The sequence below is a fragment of the Homo sapiens genome, chromosome 10 (assembly GCF_000001405.40).
Source record: "Homo sapiens chromosome 10, GRCh38.p14 Primary Assembly".
In the NCBI taxonomy this organism is placed as follows: Eukaryota; Metazoa; Chordata; class Mammalia; order Primates; family Hominidae; genus Homo; species Homo sapiens.
In genome coordinates, this window is record NC_000010.11 from 133197137 (window position 1) to 133219025 (window position 21889).

General features: G+C 62.6%; 1 protein-coding gene and 1 long non-coding RNA gene across 6 annotated transcripts in view, besides 2 other annotated features; one reads left to right on the forward strand and one right to left on the reverse strand.

Annotated features, from left to right (window-relative positions):
• Positions 1 to 21889, forward strand: part of KNDC1 (kinase non-catalytic C-lobe domain containing 1) — a 66194-nt gene that overhangs the window by 36918 nt on the left and 7387 nt on the right. Inside the window, exons 12-27 of one of the 3 annotated variants that reach the window (NM_152643.8) lie at positions 539 to 632; positions 1201 to 1363; positions 1442 to 2130; positions 2322 to 2466; positions 3239 to 3324; positions 4365 to 4762; positions 9549 to 9642; positions 9720 to 9817; positions 10001 to 10215; positions 13475 to 13588; positions 14286 to 14433; positions 14543 to 14722; positions 15580 to 15786; positions 16509 to 16591; positions 16836 to 16986; positions 21695 to 21817. In NM_152643.8, coding sequence (NP_689856.6) covers positions 539 to 632; positions 1201 to 1363; positions 1442 to 2130; positions 2322 to 2466; positions 3239 to 3324; positions 4365 to 4762; positions 9549 to 9642; positions 9720 to 9817; positions 10001 to 10215; positions 13475 to 13588; positions 14286 to 14433; positions 14543 to 14722; positions 15580 to 15786; positions 16509 to 16591; positions 16836 to 16986; positions 21695 to 21817 — 2988 coding nt within the window. The other 2 variants (XM_017016858.3, XM_017016859.3) reach the window with 2 other exon arrangements.
• On the reverse strand, positions 60 to 21701 carry LOC105378573 (uncharacterized). Of its 3 annotated transcripts, XR_007062351.1 has the most exons (5): positions 21547 to 21701; positions 20116 to 20281; positions 19124 to 19189; positions 3221 to 5136; positions 60 to 138 (listed from the first exon to the last, which is right to left on the reverse strand). It is a non-coding gene; the product is annotated as an uncharacterized LOC105378573 (long non-coding RNA). The 3 variants fall into 3 exon arrangements; XR_007062353.1 differs by lacking the exons at positions 60 to 138; positions 3221 to 5136 and adding an exon at positions 18764 to 18918; XR_007062352.1 differs by lacking the exons at positions 60 to 138; positions 20116 to 20281 and having other exon boundaries at positions 4980 to 5136.
• Positions 2467 to 3213: an enhancer, noted in NCBI's record as "H3K27ac-H3K4me1 hESC enhancer chr10:135013107-135013853 (GRCh37/hg19 assembly coordinates)". NCBI's record gives its function as "activates a minimal SCP1, AML or CMV promoter by ChIP-STARR-seq in naive H9 embryonic stem cells {active_cell/tissue: H9 hESC(naive)}" and the evidence as "EXISTENCE:reporter gene assay evidence [ECO:0000049][PMID:30033119]".
• Positions 3214 to 3959: an enhancer, noted in NCBI's record as "H3K27ac-H3K4me1 hESC enhancer chr10:135013854-135014599 (GRCh37/hg19 assembly coordinates)". NCBI's record gives its function as "activates a minimal SCP1, AML or CMV promoter by ChIP-STARR-seq in naive H9 embryonic stem cells {active_cell/tissue: H9 hESC(naive)}" and the evidence as "EXISTENCE:reporter gene assay evidence [ECO:0000049][PMID:30033119]".

Consider the following 21889-nt stretch of genomic DNA (forward strand, 5'->3'; position numbering starts at 1 on the left):
TGGGCTAGAACAGCCAGGCCGCCGCCTCCTCCGCCGCGCTTAGCTTCCTCCCTCCTGGACGCACTTGCCCTTGCCTGGCCGCTCCCGGCAGCCCCACACCCCGGTCTCTGTTGACCACCGAGCTGTGGGTGGGTGCATCTGGGGGTGCAGGGGGACACTCGAGTCCCATCTAAAGGCCCCACAGTGGCCCCCAGGGACCCAGATCAGGATCAGGGCAGGGTCCCAAGGACGGCGGCCCAGCACCCACCCCGGGCGCAGAGAGCTTTGGGAGTGTGGGCCCTGAGTCTCGGGTGGTGCTGGCGTCTCCCACTCCCTGGAACCCACGGAAACCTGGTTGGCTTGGGAGGCAAAGGAGCCCCAACGGCTCCCTCTCCAGGCAGAGCCGCTGCAGAGCTTGGGCCGTGTGGCCGCCATGCCCGGCTCCTCCCCAGCAGGAAGCTCCACGGCACCGGCGGGTGGTGGGGGACGCCCTGTGGGTGTTGCCGGCGCTGGCGGAGCTCCGTGGTCACCTGGCCCAGGGCTGTCACCTCCTCCCCAGGTGTACCAGGAGGAAGAGACCATCAGCCTCCAAAACGCCTTCTCAGTGGTTGAACTGAAGCCCAGTGTGGCACCAGCCCCAGAGCCCAGCCCAGGTGGGGACCTGACCAGCCCCTGCTGCCCCACCAGCTCCTGCACCTGACACCACAGCTGCCCCCACCTCTGCATGGACAGACACAGCCGGGCACCTCTCGGAAACCCGGGAAGCAAGTCCAGAGCTCGGCCAACGTGGCCCATGCAGCCCAGCCTGCCTGCCCCTGCCAGCCCCCATCTCCCAAAACTCCCAGTCGCTCAGGCCCCAGCTCCAGGTTCTCACTCCCATCTCCCAGCAGCTGGCCCTCCCAAGCCCACATCTGGAGACCCCCAGAGTCCACACAGAGCCCACCCCACCCCCGTACTGAGCCCTGCTCAGCAGGCCCCTCCAAGGCTTCTGGTGGGGCCTGGTCTTGCTGGCCCGTCCCCGCCTGCTGGCCCTCCCCCAAGCACCAGTCTCACCCACCCTCCCATTCCAGGGCCCAGCACAGAGGAAGCCCCCAGGGCCATGCGGGAGGGGACGCGGCACCACGCACTGGGTGGGATGAGCACTGGGTGGGATGAGCCGGTGGTGCGGCACGTGCTGGGGCCACTCCGCCCGCCCACACCCTCAGCCCCCTGGCTCCCCAGGCTTCCTGCCGGTGAACAGCGACACCGGGCTTGTGGCTGTGCCAGGGCCCGTGCCCGGCCAGCACCCCTGCGGTGAAGAAGCCACCCAGCTGCCTGCAGCGTTCACCTCCGAGGCCACGCACTTCAAGCCCATTGTCCTCGCGCAGAACGCAAGTGTGGCCAGGTGAGCATCGTCCCCACACCCCGGAGCTGCTGGGTCCCGGGCGCAGGCAGCCCCTCCTGAGCTCTGCTCCTCCCGTAGGGACCAGCCTGCCTTGGCCCAGGAGGAGTCCGAGGAGAGGGGCGGCCAGAGGGAGGGAGAAGGTGAGGAGAAGCTCTCCCTGGAGGCCCACGCTGGGTCCCCCAGCCTGAAGACGCCTGACGGGCCGGTGCCTGGTCCGGGGCCACAGGGAGCAGCCCCAGAGCCTCTTGGGGCGTCAGTGCAGCGTGACTCAGCCCAGGGCCGCCCCTGCCCTCCACCCCAGGCCCCAGCAAACCAGCCAGAGGGGGCCTCATCGGCAGCTCCCGGCTCTCCAGTCCCCGCCCCGCCCACGAAGGCATCTGCGCTGCCCGTAGAGCAAGGGCCGGCTGAGCCGATCCCACCTGGAGTTGCTTCCGGGGGCCTCAGGCCCGACGCCCTGGGGCCCACCACGGCCCACCACGGCCCACGCCACCCGCCCAAGCCCCCACGAAGCAAGGCCACCGAGCGCCCGGGCCAGGAGCCAGAGGGCCCCGGGGCCACCCCTGCCGGGGAACGTGATGACCAGAGTCCAGACAGTGTCCCAGAGAGGCCGCGGCCCGCAGACCGGAGGCTCTGTCTGCCCTGCGTGGATGCCTCGCCACTCCCAGGGAGGACGGCCTGCCCGTCGCTGCAGGAGGCCACGCGCCTCATCCAGGAGGAATTTGCCTTCGATGGCTACCTGGACAATGGGCTGGAGGCTCTGATCATGGGTACGTGGGGGCCGCAGACGCCCCAGAGGAGGCCCGGGCCAGGGAGAGCCCCACAGGGGACTCGGGGCCGCCCCACGCCCTTCCCCCAGCCCCCCAGCCGAGATCAGCCTTGTCCGTTTCATCAGCCACAAGGGAACCAGATGAGCAGCCCTGCCACCATCTCACTTGTCTCCATCGTTTTGCAAAACCAGGGGAGTACATCTTCGCCTTGAAAGATCTCACCTTTGCCACTTTCTGTGGCGCCATTTCCGAGAAGTTCTGTGACCTGTACTGGGATGAGAAGTTGCTGCAGAACCTCTTTAAGGTGGTCAACGGGCAGGCGTCACCCTCCCCAAGGTGGGTGCCCAGTTCGGCCCTGCATTCCCGCCCCTCCCTGATGCCCACTGTGCCTGGGCTCTGCTGCCTGACCCGGGCCCAGCCTTCCCCTCCCAACCCTCCGCTTCCATCTCGCTGCTGTCTCCAGAGGGGCTACCCTTGGTGGAGATGGGTGGGGGTCCCAGCAGCCCCTCCTTGGGCCTGACGCCTACTCACAGCTTTCCCATCGGACCTGGGTTTCTTCTGGAGGACGAAAGGGCTTTCAGAGAATATGAGGCAGGGGCTCTCCGGGAGGCTGCAGGGGGCCTGGGCAGTGATGGCCACAGGGCTCCCTGCTCAGAGGGACCAGTGTGAGGGCCCCAAGGAGGTGAAGAGACTCCCAAACAGGTGGCCCCAGACCCCACAGGGCCCAGCACTGAGCTGTGTTGGGTGGGGCGGCGGCCACCCCACATTGCCTTGCTCACAGCTCCACGCGGTGCCAGCAGCCCGGGCAGCTCCTCCGCGTGCGTGTGGAGTAAACACAGCTGTGAGCAAGGGCACCCACCCCAGCCCCGGCCTCCTCGGCCCCGCAGCACTGAGAGGCTGCTCCCGAGTCCCCCCAGGGACCCCAAGCAGTGAATGACCCAGGGATCCCGTCGGCTGCTGTGCCCCTTAGTGACTGAGAGGGGTGAGCTCCTGCCGCCTCCAGCGAGAGCTCCGCATAGACGTGTGGGCCTGTGGGCCCCGCCCTGTGGAGACTGTGGCCTCCTCCCAGTGGGCGGAGGTGGGGACTGACCTGCATTCTCGTCGTCAGCACGGCCGAGGAGGCTGGGTCACAGCTCGAGGGCAGCCAAAGCCCCCGCTCCCCGTCCAGCAAGAGGCCGTCGCTGCACCGCCTGGGTAAGTGCTGGGCGGGCCCCGCGGCAGGAGCTCTGCTGGGCGGCTCCTCTGTGCTCTCTGCAATGCGGGGGGCGCCCCAGGGTCCCAGCAGCCTCAGACTGCACTGCTCCAGCGGGGCTGCCTTTGCCCCGGGGGTGCCCAGCCAAAGGCCGCCCTCTCCTGGGGGTGCCCAGCCAAAGGCCGCCCTCTCCTGGGGGTGCCCAGCCAAAGGCCGTCCTCTCCTGGGGGTGCCCAGCCAAAGGCCGTCCTCTTCTGGGGGCGAGCAGGAGCCCAGGACCTTGGAGGTGGGGGGTCCTCTGTCACCGGCCACTGGGACAGTGGGAGCCGCCGGGAGCCAGGTGGGATCCGCTCTCCAAGCAGAGGGGGGCCTGTGAGCCGGGGCTTTGGTGACAAGGCAGAAGTGGGCTTGTTAGCCCCAGGATCCCAGGGCACATGAGTGCCAGGCTGGGGACGTCCCAGCGTCCAGCCAGCAGGCTTGGTGTTAGGGACAAGGTGGGGGTGGTGGTCACCCTCAGGCTGTCCGTAGTCGTGGCCAGGCTTGGTGACGGGCCCAGTTCCTATCAAGTCGGAGACCAGGCGGGCAGGCTGGGGCATGAGGCCCGTGCACTCCTGGATGGCAGGAAAGCCCTGCACAGGGGAAGCTCCCGCAGGGACAGAGCTGGGGACCACTTTTTAAATTCCAGAAGAAAAGAGGAGAGCGTGAGGGGGCAGAGGGACACAGTCCTGATAGCAGAGCCAGCGAGGACAGGGCCCGGCCCCACCCCGGGGCGAGTACGAGTTTGGAAGCAGTGAGGGCGCAGAGTGGGGCTCCATCTGGGGAGAGGCCTCTCTCTGTCACCCGGCCCCGTGCGGCAGTTCAGGGTCCCAGCATCTCCCCTGCACTGGGAGGCGGCAGCCGTGCCCGGGGGGCGCCCGTGGTGGGCGGGTGCAAGAGAGAAGGGCGTCGGGTGTGCAAGCACCACCGGCCTCCCATTAACAGCCTGCCCGGGCTCCGCCCACAGGAGCCACTGTCCACGTAACCTGCGTCTCTTTCTTTCAAGGAAAAGAGAAGCCAGCCATGGCCAGGACCAGCAGCAGGGCCCCCTGCTCACCCACCTCGGTGTCGGATGTGGACTCGGACGCACTGTCACGGGGAAACTTCGAGGTGGGGTTTCGGCCTCAGAGGTCCGTAAAAGCCGAGAGAGCGCAGCAGCCTGAGGCTGGCGAGGACAGACGGCCAGCTGGCGGGGCCTCAGACGTGGAGGCAGTGACCCGACTGGCCAGGTCCAAAGGGGTCGGCCCAGCCTTGTCCCCCGGCCCAGCCGGATTCCAGAGCTGCAGCCCCGGCTGGTGCAGCGCCTTCTACGAGGCCGACTGCTTCGGGGCCGACGTCCACAACTACGTGAAGGACCTGGGGCGGCAGCAGGCGGACGGGGCCCTGCCCGACGCCCAGAGCCCGGTGAGTCCCAGGCCTTGGCACTGCCGGGTGGGGCAGGGCGTCTCCTTCCAGCAGAGCTTCCTGGTCACTGCAGGTGACAGATGGCACCGTGTGCCCAGAGCCCCCAACAGGGTGACACTGGTCCTGGTGCCCCCACCCCGTGGCTGTCAAGATGGTCAGGGCCCCCTCCCTGGGCTGAGCTCCACGTCTAGGGACAGGCTCGTCTGCACTGGTGCTCCTGGTGGCTCCACGTCTGAGGACAGGGAAGGGCTTTTCTCTCATGGTCGCCCGGGCGATGGGTTCACAGGAGGCCCCTCCATGCTCGTGACCAGGTTGCGTTCGGTCGTGTTTTCCGTGGGGCAGGCACAGCCTCCGGGCCCTTGGGCAGCCTCGCTCTGCAGTGAAAGAAAACACCAAAAACGCCTGCCCAGCAAGTCTAGACTGGGCCTGGTCGCTGCAGCCTGGTCCGGGCTTTCTGGCCAGCAGTGCCATCCTGGGTCAGGAGCAGCTGCAACTCCTCCCTGGCCAGCAGGGAGAGGAGGTCTTAGACCGGGGAGTCCTGGGTGCAGGAGAGGCCTGCAGAGCTCTGGACGCAAGGTGGGACCAGTGACCCACAGCCCCGACCTGGGCTGCATTCTCGAGAGCCCCGGGACTCCAGGGTGGATGACAGGAGGGGCCCAGTGGCCATCAGCTCCGGGAACCTCTCCTACCACCGTCTGCCTCGAGCTGAGCCACCGTGGGAAGCCTCCCCCAGCCTCTGGGCATCGGAGCCCTTCCTGGGGCTCCTCCTTGCTCCTCTCCTGCCGCCTCCTGGCCTGCACTTTATGACTCAGTCCAGAACATGACCCGGTGTCCCTTCAGGGCAGGTGAGGGGACAGGGGTTAAGCTCTGTGAAGCCTTCACTTCATTTCAGCTTCTGGGCCACGTGAAAGACCCGCATGGTGCTACAGCCTCTGCACCTGCATCTCGGACACCCCACACAGGGCCTGAGGGGGCTTCGAGGACGCAAAGGCCGCCCCCGGGGCTGGGGAGAGAAAAGGGCGGCCGGCACAGCAAACACCAAACGACCCGGCCCCCAAACGCAGGGAGTCCAGCAGGGAGCACTCAGCCCCCAAACTCACGGCGTCCAGCCGGGAGCACTCCGCCCCCAAACGCATGGCGTCCAGCGGGGAGCACTCGGCCCCCAAACTGGCAGAGTCCAGCGGGGAGCACTCCACCCCCAAACGCACGGCGTCCAGCGGGGAGCACTCGGCCCCCAAACGCACGGCGTCCAGCGGGGAGCACTCGGCCCCCAAACGCACAGAGTCCAGCGGGGAGCACTCGGCCCCCAAACGCACGGCGTCCAGTGGGGAGCACTCGGCCCCCAAACGCACAGAGTCCAGCGGGGAGCACTCGGCCCCCAAACTCACGGCGTCCAGCGGGGAGCACTCGGCCCCCAAACTCATGGTGTCCAGCAGGGAGCACTCGGCCCCCAAACACACAGCGTCCGGCCCATGGCCACAGCCTCACGTTTCTCTTGGAGGAGCTACTGTGTCTCTTTCAAAACAGGAGGCTCAGAAACACAGCAAGGGCAAAAACCACCTGGAGACAGACTTTCACATCCGCAGCCCAAAACGCACACGGTGCAGCGAGGGCCGTTCTCTGGGGCGGCTGGAGCAGCCGGTGGGCATTTCCTCCCTTCAGCGCTGACCCCCACCTACTGGTGCCGGCCGTGTGTGCTGGGCTCAGCACTGCGGGTGCCCTGGGGCTGTGGAGCTGGCATCCGCGTCTCCTGCTGTTAAAACAAGCGTGGCTCCCAGAGTCAGCGTGGACAGCACTGGTGTGGGTTCCTCCCCCGTCTGTCTGCACCGGTGAAGCCTGGCCTCGTGTTTCCCTCCTCACTGCCCCACATGTGGTGTGGATTTTAGTTACCGTGGATTTATTAAAATCAGTCAAGACCGTCCTCCTCATGGAGTCCGCCTGTGGTTCCCGCGTGAGGAGCGCCCCCGACGGACATCGAGTCTGACTGTGAACGGAGGCCGTGGAGGTGCCGGCCAGAGAGGAGTCTGCGTGAGCTGCACTCCAGCCAGGCGGGCATCGGGCTCGCAGGCACCCGCCTCCAGGTTCCTGGATGCGTCAGGGTACACAGACCTTTCCCAGGAGATTTTCTCGACATCAGCACCTCTGCAAATGGATGGGGGTGAGAGGGCTGGATGGAGCCTGGCGCCGGTGACCTCCGGGGGCCGGACGAGGGCCCCATGGTGCAGGCCATGGGGGAACGTGGCCACCACCATCCTCAGAAGCCAGGACCAGGTGCCCCGGCAGCAGAACACAGCTCCATGGGGACACCTGCGTTTACCAACCTCAACCTGCCCAGCCCGGTAGGTCCTTCCTTGATGATGGAATGTTCTAGACGCTGTCCACCGGGTAGCCAACAGCCACGTGTGGCTACTGAGCTCTGGAAACATGGCCCACGTGACTGAGGACCTGATGTTTTAATTTCACTGCACTTTAGGCAGCCACGGCAGCCTGCAGCTCAGTGTGGGAGGCAGGGTCGCACTTGGCTGGGTGGCAGCGGGGTCCGGAGGGCTTGGGGAACCTGGCTTAGTGGCCGAGGTTCTGCAGAGGCCTGGTCTTTACGCAGCTGGGACACTGCCCACACTGCCGTAGCGGGGAGCCTGGCCCTCCGTGGCACCGCCACGGCCGCTGCTGAACCCGTGCGTGGGAGAAGACAGCACAGGGACCCCGTCTCCATGGAACCACCAGATAGAGCGGATTCAAGTAGTTAAATAGAAATGTCGCCTGCATTTTTTTATTTTGCAAAAAACATTCAAAAATAAACCCTGTCAATAGCAGAGTCACTGGCGGCTGACAAGGCGAGGGGGTGGCTGTGTGGATCTGAGCCAACCGCACTTCACAAAAGGAAGCCTGGTGGACCGGCTCGCGGATGAGCCCCTCGGGGCGGTCGCTTCGGGCCCTGGGCACGTGAACCCCTCACAGGAGGCTGCGGGCCGAGGGCTGCCGCGCCTCTCACCTCTGCCCCCAGCCAGGTGCCCCTGCCCCGTGGCACCTCACAGTCCCCCTGAAGACCTGCTGCTCAAGGCCCAGCTCCCATGGACCCCCAAGACTTCCCAGACCCCTCACCCCAGAACCACCACCCTCCTCACCCCCAGAATCACCACCCTCCTCAGTACTGGGCCAAGCCCCACGGGTGCAGGAGGAGGCTGTATCTGCCCCTGTACCCCTAGAGGGAAGGGCCGTCTCTGGGGTCACTGCCCTGGCAGCCCATCCTCAGGGCGCCCCTCCTCCAGCCTCTACGCCCGTGTGCCTGTCCCGTAGGACAGAAGGAGTGCTCAGACGAGGGCTGCCCGGCCAGGCGTGGGAGGCATCCTGGGACAACGCGGCGCCCTCTCCCTGAATGTAGAGTCCCGTCCAGGGAGGCGCTCAGCCCCAGCTGCTGTCTGTGCATGAAGCAGTGCCCGGCGGCCCTCGCCCCCAGCTCCTGTGATCAGGACCTGCCCGTCTGGCCTCAGTCCTGCTTCCCTCATGGCGACAGCCCTGGGGATGAGGTCCCCGGCTCCATCTCGCAGGCAGGAACTCAGACTCTGGGCAGGTTCCGGAGAATCACACCCGGGCGTGCACTCACATTTACACTCAACGCTCATGCTCTATGGAGCACCCAAGGGCTGGGGCAAACGCTGCGGCCGCCGCCCAGCAAACCACGATGGTCCAGCCAGTGGGTTCCCGGGAGGAGGGTTTTTGGGGGCCTCGTCTGCACAGGCCAGCTGGAATCCGCATCATTGGGCTTCTTTAAGTTTAAAAGAAAGGCAAGGCTGGTGCAGTGGCTCACGCCTGTAATCCCAGCACTTTGGGAGGCTGAGATGGGAGAAATGCTTGAACCCAGGGAGTTGGAGGTTGCAGTGAGTTGTGATCGCGCCACTGCACTCCCACCTGGGCAGCAGAGCGAATCGGGCCACCGCACTCCAGCCCGAGTGACAGCAAGACCTCATCTCAAAAAATAAAAAATAAAATAAAATTAAAAAGTCAATAAAAATAAAAAACGGCCAGGCGTGGTGGCTCACACCTGTAATCCCGGCACTCTGGGAGGCCGAGGCGGGCAGATCACCTGAGGTCGGGAGTTCAAGACCAGCCTGACCAACATGGAGAAACCCCATCTCTACCAAAAATACAAAATTAGCCGGGCATGGTGGTGCATGCCTGTAATCCCAGCTACTCGGGAGGCTGAGGCAGGAGAATCGCTTGAACCTGGGAGGCAGAGGTTGTGGTGAGCTGAGATGGTGCCATTGCACTCCAGCCTGGGCAACAAGAGAAAAACCCCATCTCAAAAATAATAACTAAATTAAAAAATAAAAAATAAAAAGGCAGACACCTGAAGACACACGGGATGCACGTTGGGGAGGTCCCGCTGCCACCCCCTGCCCCCAGCCCCGCCCACAATGTGCACTTGGGGGCCCAGAGGTGGCACAGCCCTGCCTGCTTGGGCAGGAGGGCCTGGTGCTGACTTGGTGGGGCCTGGTTCCCCTGAGCATCCCCCACAAGGGCCTGACTGTGGGTGAGGGGCGCAGGGAGCAGTCGGCCCCAAGCTGGGCACTGCCCTGTGAGCCTGGGGGCAGCCCAGGGCCCCCCAGACCACACTGCCCAGGCCGGGGCTGGCCTCGCTGGCTGAGTGGGCCTCTGTCTCCATGGGACCCTGCCCTGCAGCTGATCTCCAAGGCCAAGGAGGCCCCAGTGGGGTGGGGCCTGGCCCTGGATGTGGCTGACGTGTGTTGGGGCTGCCTGGGGCTTAGGCGCTGTGTTTCGTCCCCAGGAGCTGGAACAGCAGCTCATGATGGAGAAAAGAAACTACCGCAAGACCCTGAAGTTCTACCAGAAACTCTTACAGAAGGAAAAGAGGAACAAAGGTAAGGCCCCTGTGGGCACAGGTCCGAGACCCTGGCTGCAGGCAGCCCGGCCCCCACCCACTCTGCTCCACCCACAGGTTCCGACGTCAAGACCATGCTGTCCAAGCTGAAAGGGCAGCTAGAAGAAATGAAATCCAGGGTGCAATTCCTCAGCTTGGTCAAGAAGTATCTGCAGGCAAGTGGGCTCCGGGCCCCGCTCTGCCCCGTGAGGCAGTAGCTTCAGACGGGCCTCCCACTGTTGGATGCTGTAAATCTGTCCGTGTGAAGTTATAAAAGGGGCCCTGATTTGAGGGTCCAATGCCAGGAAGCCCTGGGGCGAGGGGCAGAGTGACCAAGCGCCCGTGTCCCGCTCCGGCAGGTCATGTACGCGGAACGCTGGGGCCTGGAGCCCTGCACCCTCCCAGTGATCGTGAACATCGCGGCCGCACCCTGCGACACGCTGGACTTCAGCCCCCTGGACGAGTCCTCCTCGCTCATCTTCTACAACGTCAACAAGCACCCGGGCGGCCGGCAGAAGGCCCGCATCCTGCAGGCCGGCACGCCGCTGGGGCTCATGGCCTACCTGTACTCCAGGTGCGTTGGGAGAAAAGCTCACCCGGAAAAGGAGACGTAGCCCGGGGTGCTGAGAAGAGGGGGGGAACGTGCCCTCGCCAGTCAGCTAGGCTGGGTTTGCACTTTTTAGTTTAGAGAAATGTTTAATCGGGGTTTAGGCCAATGTGCACTAGGTGCCACCGGCAGCTTTGCAGAGCCCTGGCCAGAGTGGCCTCCGCCGCCTGTGGGCCTGGGCACCAGGTCTCAGGGTGCGCCTGGTGGTCCCCGGAGGTGCTGCGGAACCGCCCTACATAATTAACACACGGAATGGCTTCCAAAAATAACACGCACAGGCAGCTCGGCGATGTGGCCTGGACTCCATCCAACTCACCGAGTCAGAACACCCGGGGTAATTAGCTCCAGGGACGGGTGAGGCTGGGGTGTTTCTGCAGCCCCCTCCACTCGGTGTGCACACTGGCTCAGGAGACCCCTGATCCGTAAACGCTGGTGTGCGTACGTACGCCTGCAGCAGGGAGGAGCCGCCGGGCCCACTCACCTCCACCAGGGCCACAGGGCCAGACCCCCGGCCGCCCCACCAGCCCCCTTGGCCCTTCACCCACTCTGGCCTGCATGGGCCCCTGGGCTGCACCCTGTTCTCAGGCACTGGGAGCTGCAGCAGGCTCTGGACCCACTGGTCTGACCAGCTCCCAGAGAGGCCACCCTGCCAGTGACTGGGGCCAACCCCATGTTGGCTTATGGGACCCTTATGACACCACCTTGGAGCCCCAAGGGTCCTCTCTGAGCAGAGGCCATGGGGCCCAGCAAAGGACGCCAAGGAGGACAGCAGGGAGCCAGGGCTCTCAGCAGCCAGTGGGGACAGGCAGGCCCCCAGAGAGGGATGGTGGCCACCCCCAACCCCGTTACCCCAAGGACCCTCTAGAGAGGGACGTGGCCCCCCCAACCCCGTTACCCCAAGGACCCTCTAGAGAGGGACGTGGCCCCCCAACCCCGTTACCCCAAGGACCCTCTAGAGAGGGACGTGGCCCCCCCAACCCCGTTACCCCAAGGACCCTCTAGAGAGGGACGTGGCCCCCCAACCCCGTTACCCCAAGGACCCTCTAGAGAGGGATGTGGCCCCCCCAACCCCGTTACCCCAAGGACCCTCTAGAGAGGGACGTGGGCCCCCAACCCCGTTACCCCAAGGACCCTCTAGAGAGGGACGTGGCCCCCCCAACCCCGTTACCCCAAGGACCCTCTAGAGAGGGACGTGGCCCCACCTCCGACCCCGTTCTCCCAAGGTGAGCTGCCCCTGGTCACATGGGGCCACCTACTAGCCAGGGGTCCAGGCTGACCCTCGGACCTAGTTCTCAGCCTCCTCAACTGCAAGACAGACACAGCCCACGCCCACCGCAGGGTCTCTGTGCCGTTGCGGGAGACGTCCGTGTGCGTGACTGGGCACGTGTGCAGTGTGGTGCGTTCTTGGTGTGTGTGCATGTGTGGTGTGTCCGGGTAATGTGTGATGTGCTTTGTTGTGCATGTGTAGTACACAAATGTGATGTGTATTTAGGCTTGTATGGAGTGTGTGATGTGTGTGGTGTGTGTATGTGCTGATGGGATACTGTCTGGCATGTAAGCACACGCATGTGTGGCGTGGGGTATAATGTGACATGTGTGCACGTGTGTGGTGTGTGGTTGTGGGATATCGTGTGGTGTAGTAGGTACGTGTGCGGTTGTGAGGTATAGTGTGATGTGTGTGCATGTGTGGGGTGATGTGTGGCTTGCGTGCCCATGTATGGTGTGTGATGTGGAGTATTGTGTGGCGTGTGTGGTGTGTGGTTGGGTATTGCGTGGCAGGTGTGCATGTGTGTATGGCATGGGGTGTAGTGTGGCGTGTACACGTGTGTGGTTGGGTTTTGTGTGGTGCGTATGCACATGTGTGGTGTGTGGTATGCGGTAGTGTGTGTGTGGTGTGTGGAGTATAGTGTGTGTGGTGTGGGGTACAGTGTGTGTGTGCACGTGTGTGCTGTGCGGTGTGGGGTATAGTGTGTGCACATGTGGTGTGAGGTATAGTGTGGCATGTGTGCACATGTGTGATCTGTGGTGTGTGGCGGGTATAGTGTGTGTGTGCACGTATGTGTGGTGTGGGGTATAGTGTGGCTTGTGTGCGCGTGTGTGGTGTGCGCGTCTGGTTGTGGAGTTCTGTGTGGCTTTGTGCATGTGTGTGGTGTGCGCGTCTGGTTGTCGAGTTCTGTGTGGCTTTGTCCACGTGTGTGGCGTGCGTGTCTGTGGTTGTACAGTTTGTGGCTTGCATGGCGTGAGTGTGAGTGCTGTGCTTCCATGGAAGGAGCGTCTCCTGGCCGTGATGTGGTCACGAGGGGCTTCCCCGCTCTGTGGACCTGGTGGGCGTCACCTTTGCAGGGCAGCCTGGGGCTGGGGCTGTGGCCACCTGTGTCCTCGGACCCCAGGTGAGTGGGTGACCAGGCCCCTTGTTCCAGGGCCACGCCATCTCCTGCCTGAGACTCCTCCAGGGTGGGAGGAGGCCTTGCCAGGCCTCCGCTTCCTGACCGTGGCCGTCGGGCTCCCAGGACAGTCCCAGACCTGCAGGCGGGGCCCTGGTCAGTGTCTCCTGAGGGTGGCGCGGTTTCACCCAGTGAAGACCCAGAACCTTTGAGCGTGCAGCATTGCGCCCGGTCCCGAGGCACCAGCTCCCTCAGCTTCCCGAGCTAACGGGTCCTGCGAGTGGAGACGTCACAAAGCCCTGCATAGGGCTGCGTTCAGAAAGGCCCTGGTGTTCAGCAGGGCACGGTGGCTCACGCCTGTCATTCCAGCACTTTGGGTGGCCGAGGCAGGCAGATCACCTGAGGTCAGGAGTTCGAGACCAGCCTGGGAAACATGGTGAAACCCCATCTCTACTAAAACACAAAAATCAGCCGGGCATGGTAGGCGCCTGTAGTCCCAGCTATTCGGGAGGCTGAGGCAGGAAAATTGCTTGAACCTGGGAGGCGGAGATCACACCATTGCACTCCAGCCTGGGCGACAAGAGCGAAACTCTGCCAAAAAAAAAAAAAAAAAAAAAAAAAGGCCCTGGTGCTGGAAGGCTGGAAGTAGTTGGGAATTTCAAATGAAATTTGAAATTTGAGGGTTATCCATGTCCCCCCTTTAATTTCTCCGGGGATTCTCCTGACAGTGATACTCAAAGAAAACGCACACACACATACAGTCACACCCCACCACCGAACACTAGCCGAGCCCTGGGGTGCGGCCACCCCACCACCTCACCGCCGCCCGCCCCGCCCCACAGTGATGCCTTCCTGGAGGGTTATGTGCAGCAATTCCTCTACACCTTCCGCTACTTCTGCACACCCCACGACTTCCTGCACTTCCTCCTCGACCGCATCAACAGCACGCTGACCAGGTACCAAGCTCCACAGCTCCACGCCCGCCAGAGCTTCCCCCTGGGGCAGGGTGGGCGCCCATGGGCCTGGTTTAGCCACCATGAAGAACGAGGTGGTCCCTGGCGACCCAAGGGGGTGAGGGGCCAGGGAAGCCTGGCTGGAGGTCCGGCTGGAGGTGGAGGACACACAGGGATGCGGAGAAAGCAGCTGGGGCAGGAGGGCGGTGGCCTGGGCACCTGGGAGCTCTGGGAGGGGACCTGGGGGAGTCGGGGTCTCTTCCTGCTGACCTGGGAGGAAAGCGGAGGGCAGGTGGGCAGGCAGTGAGAGCCAGAAGGTCAGCTGGGGGAAGGGGAAGCACCAAGCAGAGGGTCCTACCGGCCGCCAGCCTCCCTCGGTACCCATGGCCAGCACCTGGTGTCAGGAGAGGGGTGGTGGGCTGAGGGGGGAGGGGCTCTGCCTCTCTCTGGGCTGATCTGCTGCCCCCCCAGGACACTCCACGCACCCCCTTGCCCCCACACGCCCAGGCTGGGCACCTCCCTGGCACCTCAGCTCCTGCCTCGGGGGAGGGACCCACGGAAGACCCCCAGCCCCCTAAGCCCCCTGCACACATGGAGCCTGGTCCCACCCTGCCTCTCTGGGAGAGCCACATGCAAGCCCCTGGGCCTCTGCCCCCGACTCCCACATCCTGGCAGCTCAGCAGCTCCCCTGCGTCTCCAGGGCCCACCAGGACCCCACCTCGACCTTCACCAAGATCTACAGGCGGAGCCTCTGCGTCCTGCAGGCCTGGGTGGAGGACTGCTACGCTGTGGACTTCCCTCGGAACAGCGGGCTGCTGGGGAAGCTAGAGGACTTCATCTCCTCCAAGGTGACAGTGGCGCTGAGCTGGGCGGCCGCACCCGGGGCTCCCACAGTGGGAGGTGCCGCCCTCCTCCAGAAGGTGGCAGTGACCCCCCCACCACTGTGCTTCTGCCTAGATCCTACCCCTGGACGGCTCTGCCAAGCACCTGCTGGGCCTCCTGGAGGTGGGCATGGACCGGCGGGCCGAGGGCAACCCTCGCGGCACAGACCTGGAGAACCCCAGGGAGGCCGAGGAGGATGCCAGACCCTTCAACGCCCTCTGTAAGAGGCTCTCAGAGGACGGCATCTCCAGGAAGGTGGGGTCCTTTCTCAGGGGAGGTCCTCCCTGGACAGGCGGATGTGGGTCCCTGAGCCCAGCCTCAAAGACACAACTGGTGCATGCACACACATACACACAAGTGCAAATGGGCACAGCTGTATACATGCATACACATAGACGTGTGCACATACACTTGTGTGCACATACATACCTGTGCACATCACACACATCCACACGTGCACATATGCATGCACCTTCACACAATCCACACGTGCACATGCGTGCACACTCAATCCACACGTGCACACGCACGTGCACCTTCACACAGCCATACATGCACTCGTGTGCACCCTCACACATATCCACACCTACACGTGTGCACCCTCACACATATCCACACCTACACGTGTGCACCCTCACGCAATCCACACATGCACACACGTGCACCCGCACACGCATCCACACACACACGCATGCACCCTCACATCCACACGTGCACACTCACATACCCCCTCCATGTTCCCGGTCCCAGGCAGCCCTGCTGCGCTGGCACCTCCTGCACCATCCCGGGTGCTCAGGGGAGGAGGGTCCTGCTGTGACTCATTGACCCACGGGCCAGAGACTAAGGCAGAAGCCAGTGTGGGGAGAGAAATGCCCTCTCCATTAAACCTCAGCGTCCTGCCCGTGGGGCACCTGCTGAAACGACCAGGACAGGCATCCTTGTGCCAGCACAGCTGCGGGTGGGCAGGCTGCTCTCTGGCTCTGGCTGGGCCAGTCTGAGGAGTACTGGGCTTGCACCTGGCCTGGTCCTCACCCCCCAACCCTGCCTCCCTGGACCCCTGACCCAGAGGGGACACGGAGCTTAGGCCCCTCAGTGCCCGGCCTGCCCTGCAGAGCTTCCCCTGGAGGCTGCCCCGAGGCAACGGGCTGGTGCTGCCGCCACACAAGGAGCGCCCCTACACCATTGCTGCCGCCCTGCCCAAGCCCTGCTTCCTCGAGGACTTCTACGGCCCCTGCGCCAAGACCAGTGAGAAGGGGCCCTACTTCCTGACGGAGTACAGCACTCACCAGCTCTTCAGCCAGCTCACGCTGCTACAGCAGGTGAGGAGGGCGAGGATCTGCGCCCAGGTCACCTGCGAGTCGGGGCCCCAGAAACACTCCGCGCCCATAGGGCCCTCAGCGGCTGCTTCCAGAGGAACAGACGGGCAGAGAAGGGGCCAGCTGCCAGGTGCACAGGTTGGGGGTGGCTGCCAGGTGCACAGGTCCAGGCGGCTGCTGCCTCAATGGGAGGCCCCAGCAAAGCTGAGTCCTCCTCTCCAGACCACTGCCCGCTGGGCCTGGCCCTGCCTCTGCCCAGCACTCTGGCCTCACAGGCACTAGAGGATGCCCTGAGGGCCGCATGGGGCGCTGAGTCTCTCCCCCCAGCCCCTCCACCGGAGCTGGGCCAACCCGGTTCCTTGTGCCCCCACCCAGCTGCCAGGGCCCTGCCCAACTTCCTCTGCCGCCACCACAGCCAGCCCTCAGGTGGCCTCTTCCCAGGTCCCTGCCATCCCGGGAGCCCACATCATGTAGCAGGTGACAGCAGTGATGCCAATCTAGTGATCCACCTGCTGTCACGAGGGCTGCCCCGGACACCATGAGCCCCTGGGGGCCAAGCACATGGGGAGCCCTGCAGCCGACCCCTGTGGACTGTTAGATGGGTATTGAACCTGGGATTGCAGAGCTGGCCCCCCAGAAAACACCCACCCTCCCTGGGACCCTGCCTTGGACACAAGGCCCTAAGGGATGGAAGCCTGAACCTCTTGTTTCCATGTTCTGGGCAGGAGTTGTTTCAAAAGTGCCACCCGGTCCACTTCCTGAACTCACGGGCCCTGGGCGTCATGGACAAGAGCACTGCCATCCCCAAGTGAGCGTCCGGGACCCTCAGCTGGGAGCGGTGGTGGAGGGTCTCGGGGGCTTCCCGTAAGAGTCTTGTGGACGCTCCTGACCAGCAGGAGATGCCTGTGTCTCCAGAGACGCGAGAGAGTGGTGTCTGCCAGTTGGAGCGGCCTCGTGGCCCGACCCCAGCCCACCCTGCACCAGCAGCCCCAGGGCCGGGCAGGGCCACTGCACAAGTCCTGGGGGTGACAGGGACCATATTTCTCTTCCAGAGCCAGCTCTTCTGAGTCTCTTTCGGCCAAAACCTGCAGCTTATTTCTGCCCAATTACGTTCAGGACAAGTATCTGTTACAGCTTCTAAGAAACGCAGATGACGTCAGCACCTGGGTGGCTGCAGAGATTGTGACCAGCCACACCTCCAAGGTGGGCACCCTACAGTTCCGAGGCCAACACGGGGCGTGGGGCCCACCTACGCGGGGGTGGCAGCGCCTCCTATAAGGCCGTGGCCTGAACCCTCTCCCAATGCAGTGAACCCAACTCTGTGTCCCTTGGAACCACACCCGACCCAAGGCTGAGGGGAGCAGGGCACAGGCTTCACTACATCAGGAGGAGGGGGGTCAGCCGCCCTCCCAGCTCTCCCCCAGCACTGCCTGCCACATCCACGGCCACATCCACATCCACGGCCACTTCCACAGCCACGTCCACATCTGCAGCCAGAGATGGCTCCCCTCAGTGGTGGGTGATCCTTGGCTGTGGGCCGCCTGGAGACCCAGGACAAGCTGCACCCACCACTGCTACCACCCCCACCTGTGCTCACCACACACAGAGTCCCTCACGCACCACCCCCAGCACTGGGCTCCGCCACACACCCCACTCCACCCCAGGCCCCATCCCCTCTGTGCCTGAGCCTGGCCCCTGGGCTGGGGCTTGTGATGCCCAGCGTCCCACCCTGGGCTCCTCCTGGCCGAATGCTCATTGTGGGTTCTTAGTCTGTGGAACGGATCGGCTCCGTGGTCTGACCAAGGTCAAGGTCAAGCTCCAGCGCCGGGGCCCAGTCTCAGCCTCTTCTAGGTCCTGTGGGGCTTGGGCTGGACTGGGGGCTCCTCCCCTGACCTGCCCCACCTGCTGTCAGGCAGGGCACTGTGCAGCCCCTAGAGAGTCACTGCCTCGACCAGCTCATCCTTCACGGGGCTTACCTGCCCAGGAGGCATCAGGGTCCACAGCTTCTCAGGAGGCCAGAGTCCCCCAGCCCCAGGGGTCTGCACCTTCACCCAGCGGATGCCTTCACCCAGCAGACGGACAGCCTATTACAGAGGACTGTGATCTCCTCACACCTGAGCTCAGCTGGCGCTTGGCTGTCGTGGGCTGGGGTCACCAGGTCCCGCTCCAAGTAAGACTCAGGATTACAGGGCCCCTTCCCCCACAGCAGGCAGGTAGACGCCCACCCCCTCCTGGGCCGGAGCTCTCTGAAAGCAAACTTGAGCCCAAGGAACAGGACTCCCGGCCACGAACCCCATCACTGCCGTCCCTGCTGCTGTCCCAGAGTGGGCTGAAGGCTCTGGGGGAACCAGGAGCTGCTCGCAGTCCACCAAGGTGCAGTACCTCCCTGCCAGGCGGCAAAGCCACCTCCACGGTGGACAGAGCTTCCCTTCCTATTATTCCTTCACACCCCTCCAAGCCCGCAGGCAACCCCGGGCCGTAAACGAAGGCAGAGGCACCGCCTTCTCTCCTCCCTTGGGGAGAACTTTCCAACTTTGGGGATTTGTCGCCAGGGCACGCCAGCACGGGGCGTGGGAACAGGGAGCCTGGTTGCCTCTTTCCTCAGATCCATGGTTTTCACCATATCGTGAGGGACATGAAAATGCGATTTCCCTAAACCAGAGCCTTCACGCACGGCCCGTGTGGCCAGGCTTCATGAGGATGAGCACAAGGACAGGTGGCTGTCACCTGGCCAACCCACATCGTCCTGGGCGCACCCTCACCCCGAGCTGCCCCAGCGGGTGGAGGACTGCCCCTCCCAGCCTGAGACCCACCTCGAGCCTGCGGCGGCCCTGCCTGAGGGTCTCCGGGATGGCCGCTCGTCCTGGTCACGCACCCGTGTACAGGTCTGCAGGGTGGGCAAGAGTCGTGCAGGCTCACACCCAGGGCTGCTGGCACCCAGCGTGGCCGGGACAGAGCTCGGCACTGCTGCCACATCCCCGTTAGCAAAAGGGAGCTGCGGATCGCTCAGAACAGGCCCCTCACCTCCTCACGGGAGCGGACGGACCTCGCCGGAGACCCACTTCTAAAAGCACCACGCTCGTCCATCTAACAAGTGTTAGAGCCACGATGTCCTGACGTATTGTGTCTCAATGGCTGTGAGGTCGGAACAATCCAGGACACTGAGTTTCACATTTGTAAATTCAGGACCCCAGAAAATCATTAAAATACAAAATTCGAGCACAGAGGGCAGCAGTGATCAATAAAAATGCTCGGGGGTCAGTGGCTCCGTTCTGACGATGCCTGGAGTGAGGCGAGGTGGAGACACAAGGGCAGGAAGAAACGGCATAAAATTTCTCACCTGAAGAAAATGGGGGGTCGGTGGTTCCGTTCAGACAATGTCTTGGTGGCACCGTTTAGACGACGTCTGGAGGGAGACAAGGTGGAAACAGAAGCAGGAAGAAACAGCGTAAAATTTCTCACCTTAAGAAAACGCAGGCCGGTCGCAGTGGCTGATGCCTGTAACCCCAGCCCTTTGGGAGGCCGAGGAGGGCAGATCACTTGAGACCAGGAGTTGGGATCAGCTTGGACAACATATCGAAACCCCGTCTCTACTGAAAATATAAAAAATTGTCCAGGCTGGTGGCGCACACCTGGAGTCCCAGCTCCTCAGGAGGCTGAGGCGGGAGGATCACTGGAGCCCAGGAGGTGGCGGTTGCAGTGAGCTGAGGTTGCACCACGGCAGCCTAGACGACGGTGCGAGACCCTATCTCAAAAAAAATAAAAAATAAAAATGGGGAGTTTGAAAGCAGAATAGGGCTTTGGTTTCTTTAGATTTGTTTAAAAATATGGAACACCATAGCCAAGAGGTGGAGGCACCTAAATGTCCACGGAGAGAAGAACAGATAAAGAAAATGCGGCCTCTTTGTACCTTGAGAACTTATTCAGCCTTAACAGGAGGGAAATTCTGACGCCTGCGGCAGCACGATGAACCTCGAGGGACTCAGGCTCAGGGAAACGAGCCAGTCGCGAAGCACGGACAGTGGACGGCTCCACGTACACGAGGCGCCTGGAGGCGCAAGATTCACGGAGACAAAGTAGCAGGGTGGGCGCCGGGGGCTGGGAGTGGGGCACGGGGAGCTCGTGTTGAACGGGGACCGAGTTTCCGTTTGGGAAGATGGAGAGTCGCAGACATGCTGCACAGTGTGGATGTAGTTAACACGGCTGAACCGTGCACTCAGAAAAGGCTACAAAGGTAAATCCTCTATTACATACTTTTTACAATTAAAAATCAAAAGGTTAAAACAACAGTGAAAAAGTGTGGCGAAATAGTTTTATCTCAAAATTACATACTTTGCATCTACTTAAACCGATGAAGAAACAGACTGAGACGTCAGCGTAGAAAGTGTATCCGGTAAACACTTCTCAAGCTCCTCTCAAGGCGCTCAGGCAAGAGGGCTGGGGCCGCAGTCGGGGTGAGCCCAGGATCACATGAGGCGCCTTCAGCTGCACAGGGGCCCTGCAGACAAGAGTTGAGCCCGGGGGCAGGCGCGGTGGCTCACGCCTCTAATCCCAGCACTTTGGGAGTCCGAGGCGGGCAGATCACGAGGTCAGGAGTTCGAGACCAGCCTGGCTGACATGGTGAAACCCCATCTCTACTAAAAATACAAAAATTATCACGCCTGTGATCCCAGCACTTTGGGAGTCTGAGGCAGGCAGATCATGAGGTCAGGAGTTCGAGACCAGCCTGGCTGACATGGTGAAACCCCATCTCTACTAAAAATACAAAAATTATCACGGCTGTGATCCCAGCACTTTGGGAGTCCAAGGCGGGTGGATCATGAGGTCAGGAGTTCGAGACCTGCCTGGCCAATATGGTGAAACCTCATCTCCACTAAAAATACAAAAATTATCACATCTGTAATCCCAGCACTTTGGGAGTCCAAGGCGGGCAGATCACGAGGTCAGGAGTTCGAGACCAGCCTGACCAACATGGGGAAACCCTGTCTCCACTAAAAATACAAAAATTATCACGCCTGTAATCCCAGCACTTTGAGAGGCTGAGGCAGGAGAATCACTTGAACCCGGGAGGTGGAGGCTGCACCGAGCCGAGATCGCGCCACTGCACTCCAGCCTGGGCCACAGAGCAAGACTCCATCTCAAAAAAAAAAAAAAAAAGAGTCGATCCGGGGCATGGCGTCCAGCTGGACTCTGCAGCCTTGGTTTCCACCAAAGGATGGCCCAGGCCAAGGTGATTCCTCAGGGACAGGCAGCTACAACAGGAGGGGTCAGCTGAGTTCTCCAGAATCTTCCTGAAGCCCTGGAAGTGGATCCAGGAACGCAGCCCTTTGGGACTGCTCAGAATAGGAATCCTGCTGGGTGAGGCATTCACCACCCATGGGGTGTTCCAACCAAGGCCAGCAAGGTCGTCACCGCCAGCCACAGAGCCCCGGAGGAGGGGGCGGCACTCAGGCACCCACCCCGGACTGCACCCAAACACTCCTGCCACGGGCTTGGCGCAGCGGGTTGGGGGGTGGGCACGGAGCTGCCTGTGGCTCCCCATCTGCCTGTGGACACGACAGCGGCCTCTCCCTGGGTGGGGTCGCCTTTCCCAGTCCTGAAGCTGCCTGGGGAGGTGCATCCAGGCACAATCTTGCTTTTGAGAAGTGAGGGTGGACTTCTTTTCAAGTCTTTCCGCGTATCAGGCTTTGCTTTTATTTTGTTTTATTTCAAGTCATGCCCACCCCGTCCCGCCAGCCCAGCCCCTCCACGGCCACCGCTCACCTGCGTCCACACAGCCGCTTCCTTTCCACACACGTGATGCAGCACACGCTCTTGTGTCTTGGAGCTGGGTGATTTTAACAGGTTCTCAAATATTCCCTTTGTTCATCTTAAACCAGAAGACGCTGAATGTGTCATTTTCTTATTGCAGCTGCAGGTGAACTTGCTGTCCAAATTTTTGCTGATTGCAAAATCTTGCTATGAGCAGAGAAACTTCGCGACAGCCATGCAGATCCTGAGCGGGCTGGAGCACCTGGCCGTGAGGCAGTCCCCTGTGCGTCCCCCTCGGGCCCCAAGGCGGGGGTGGGTACCCGCACGGCCGCAGGAGGCTCACCTGTGCTTTCAT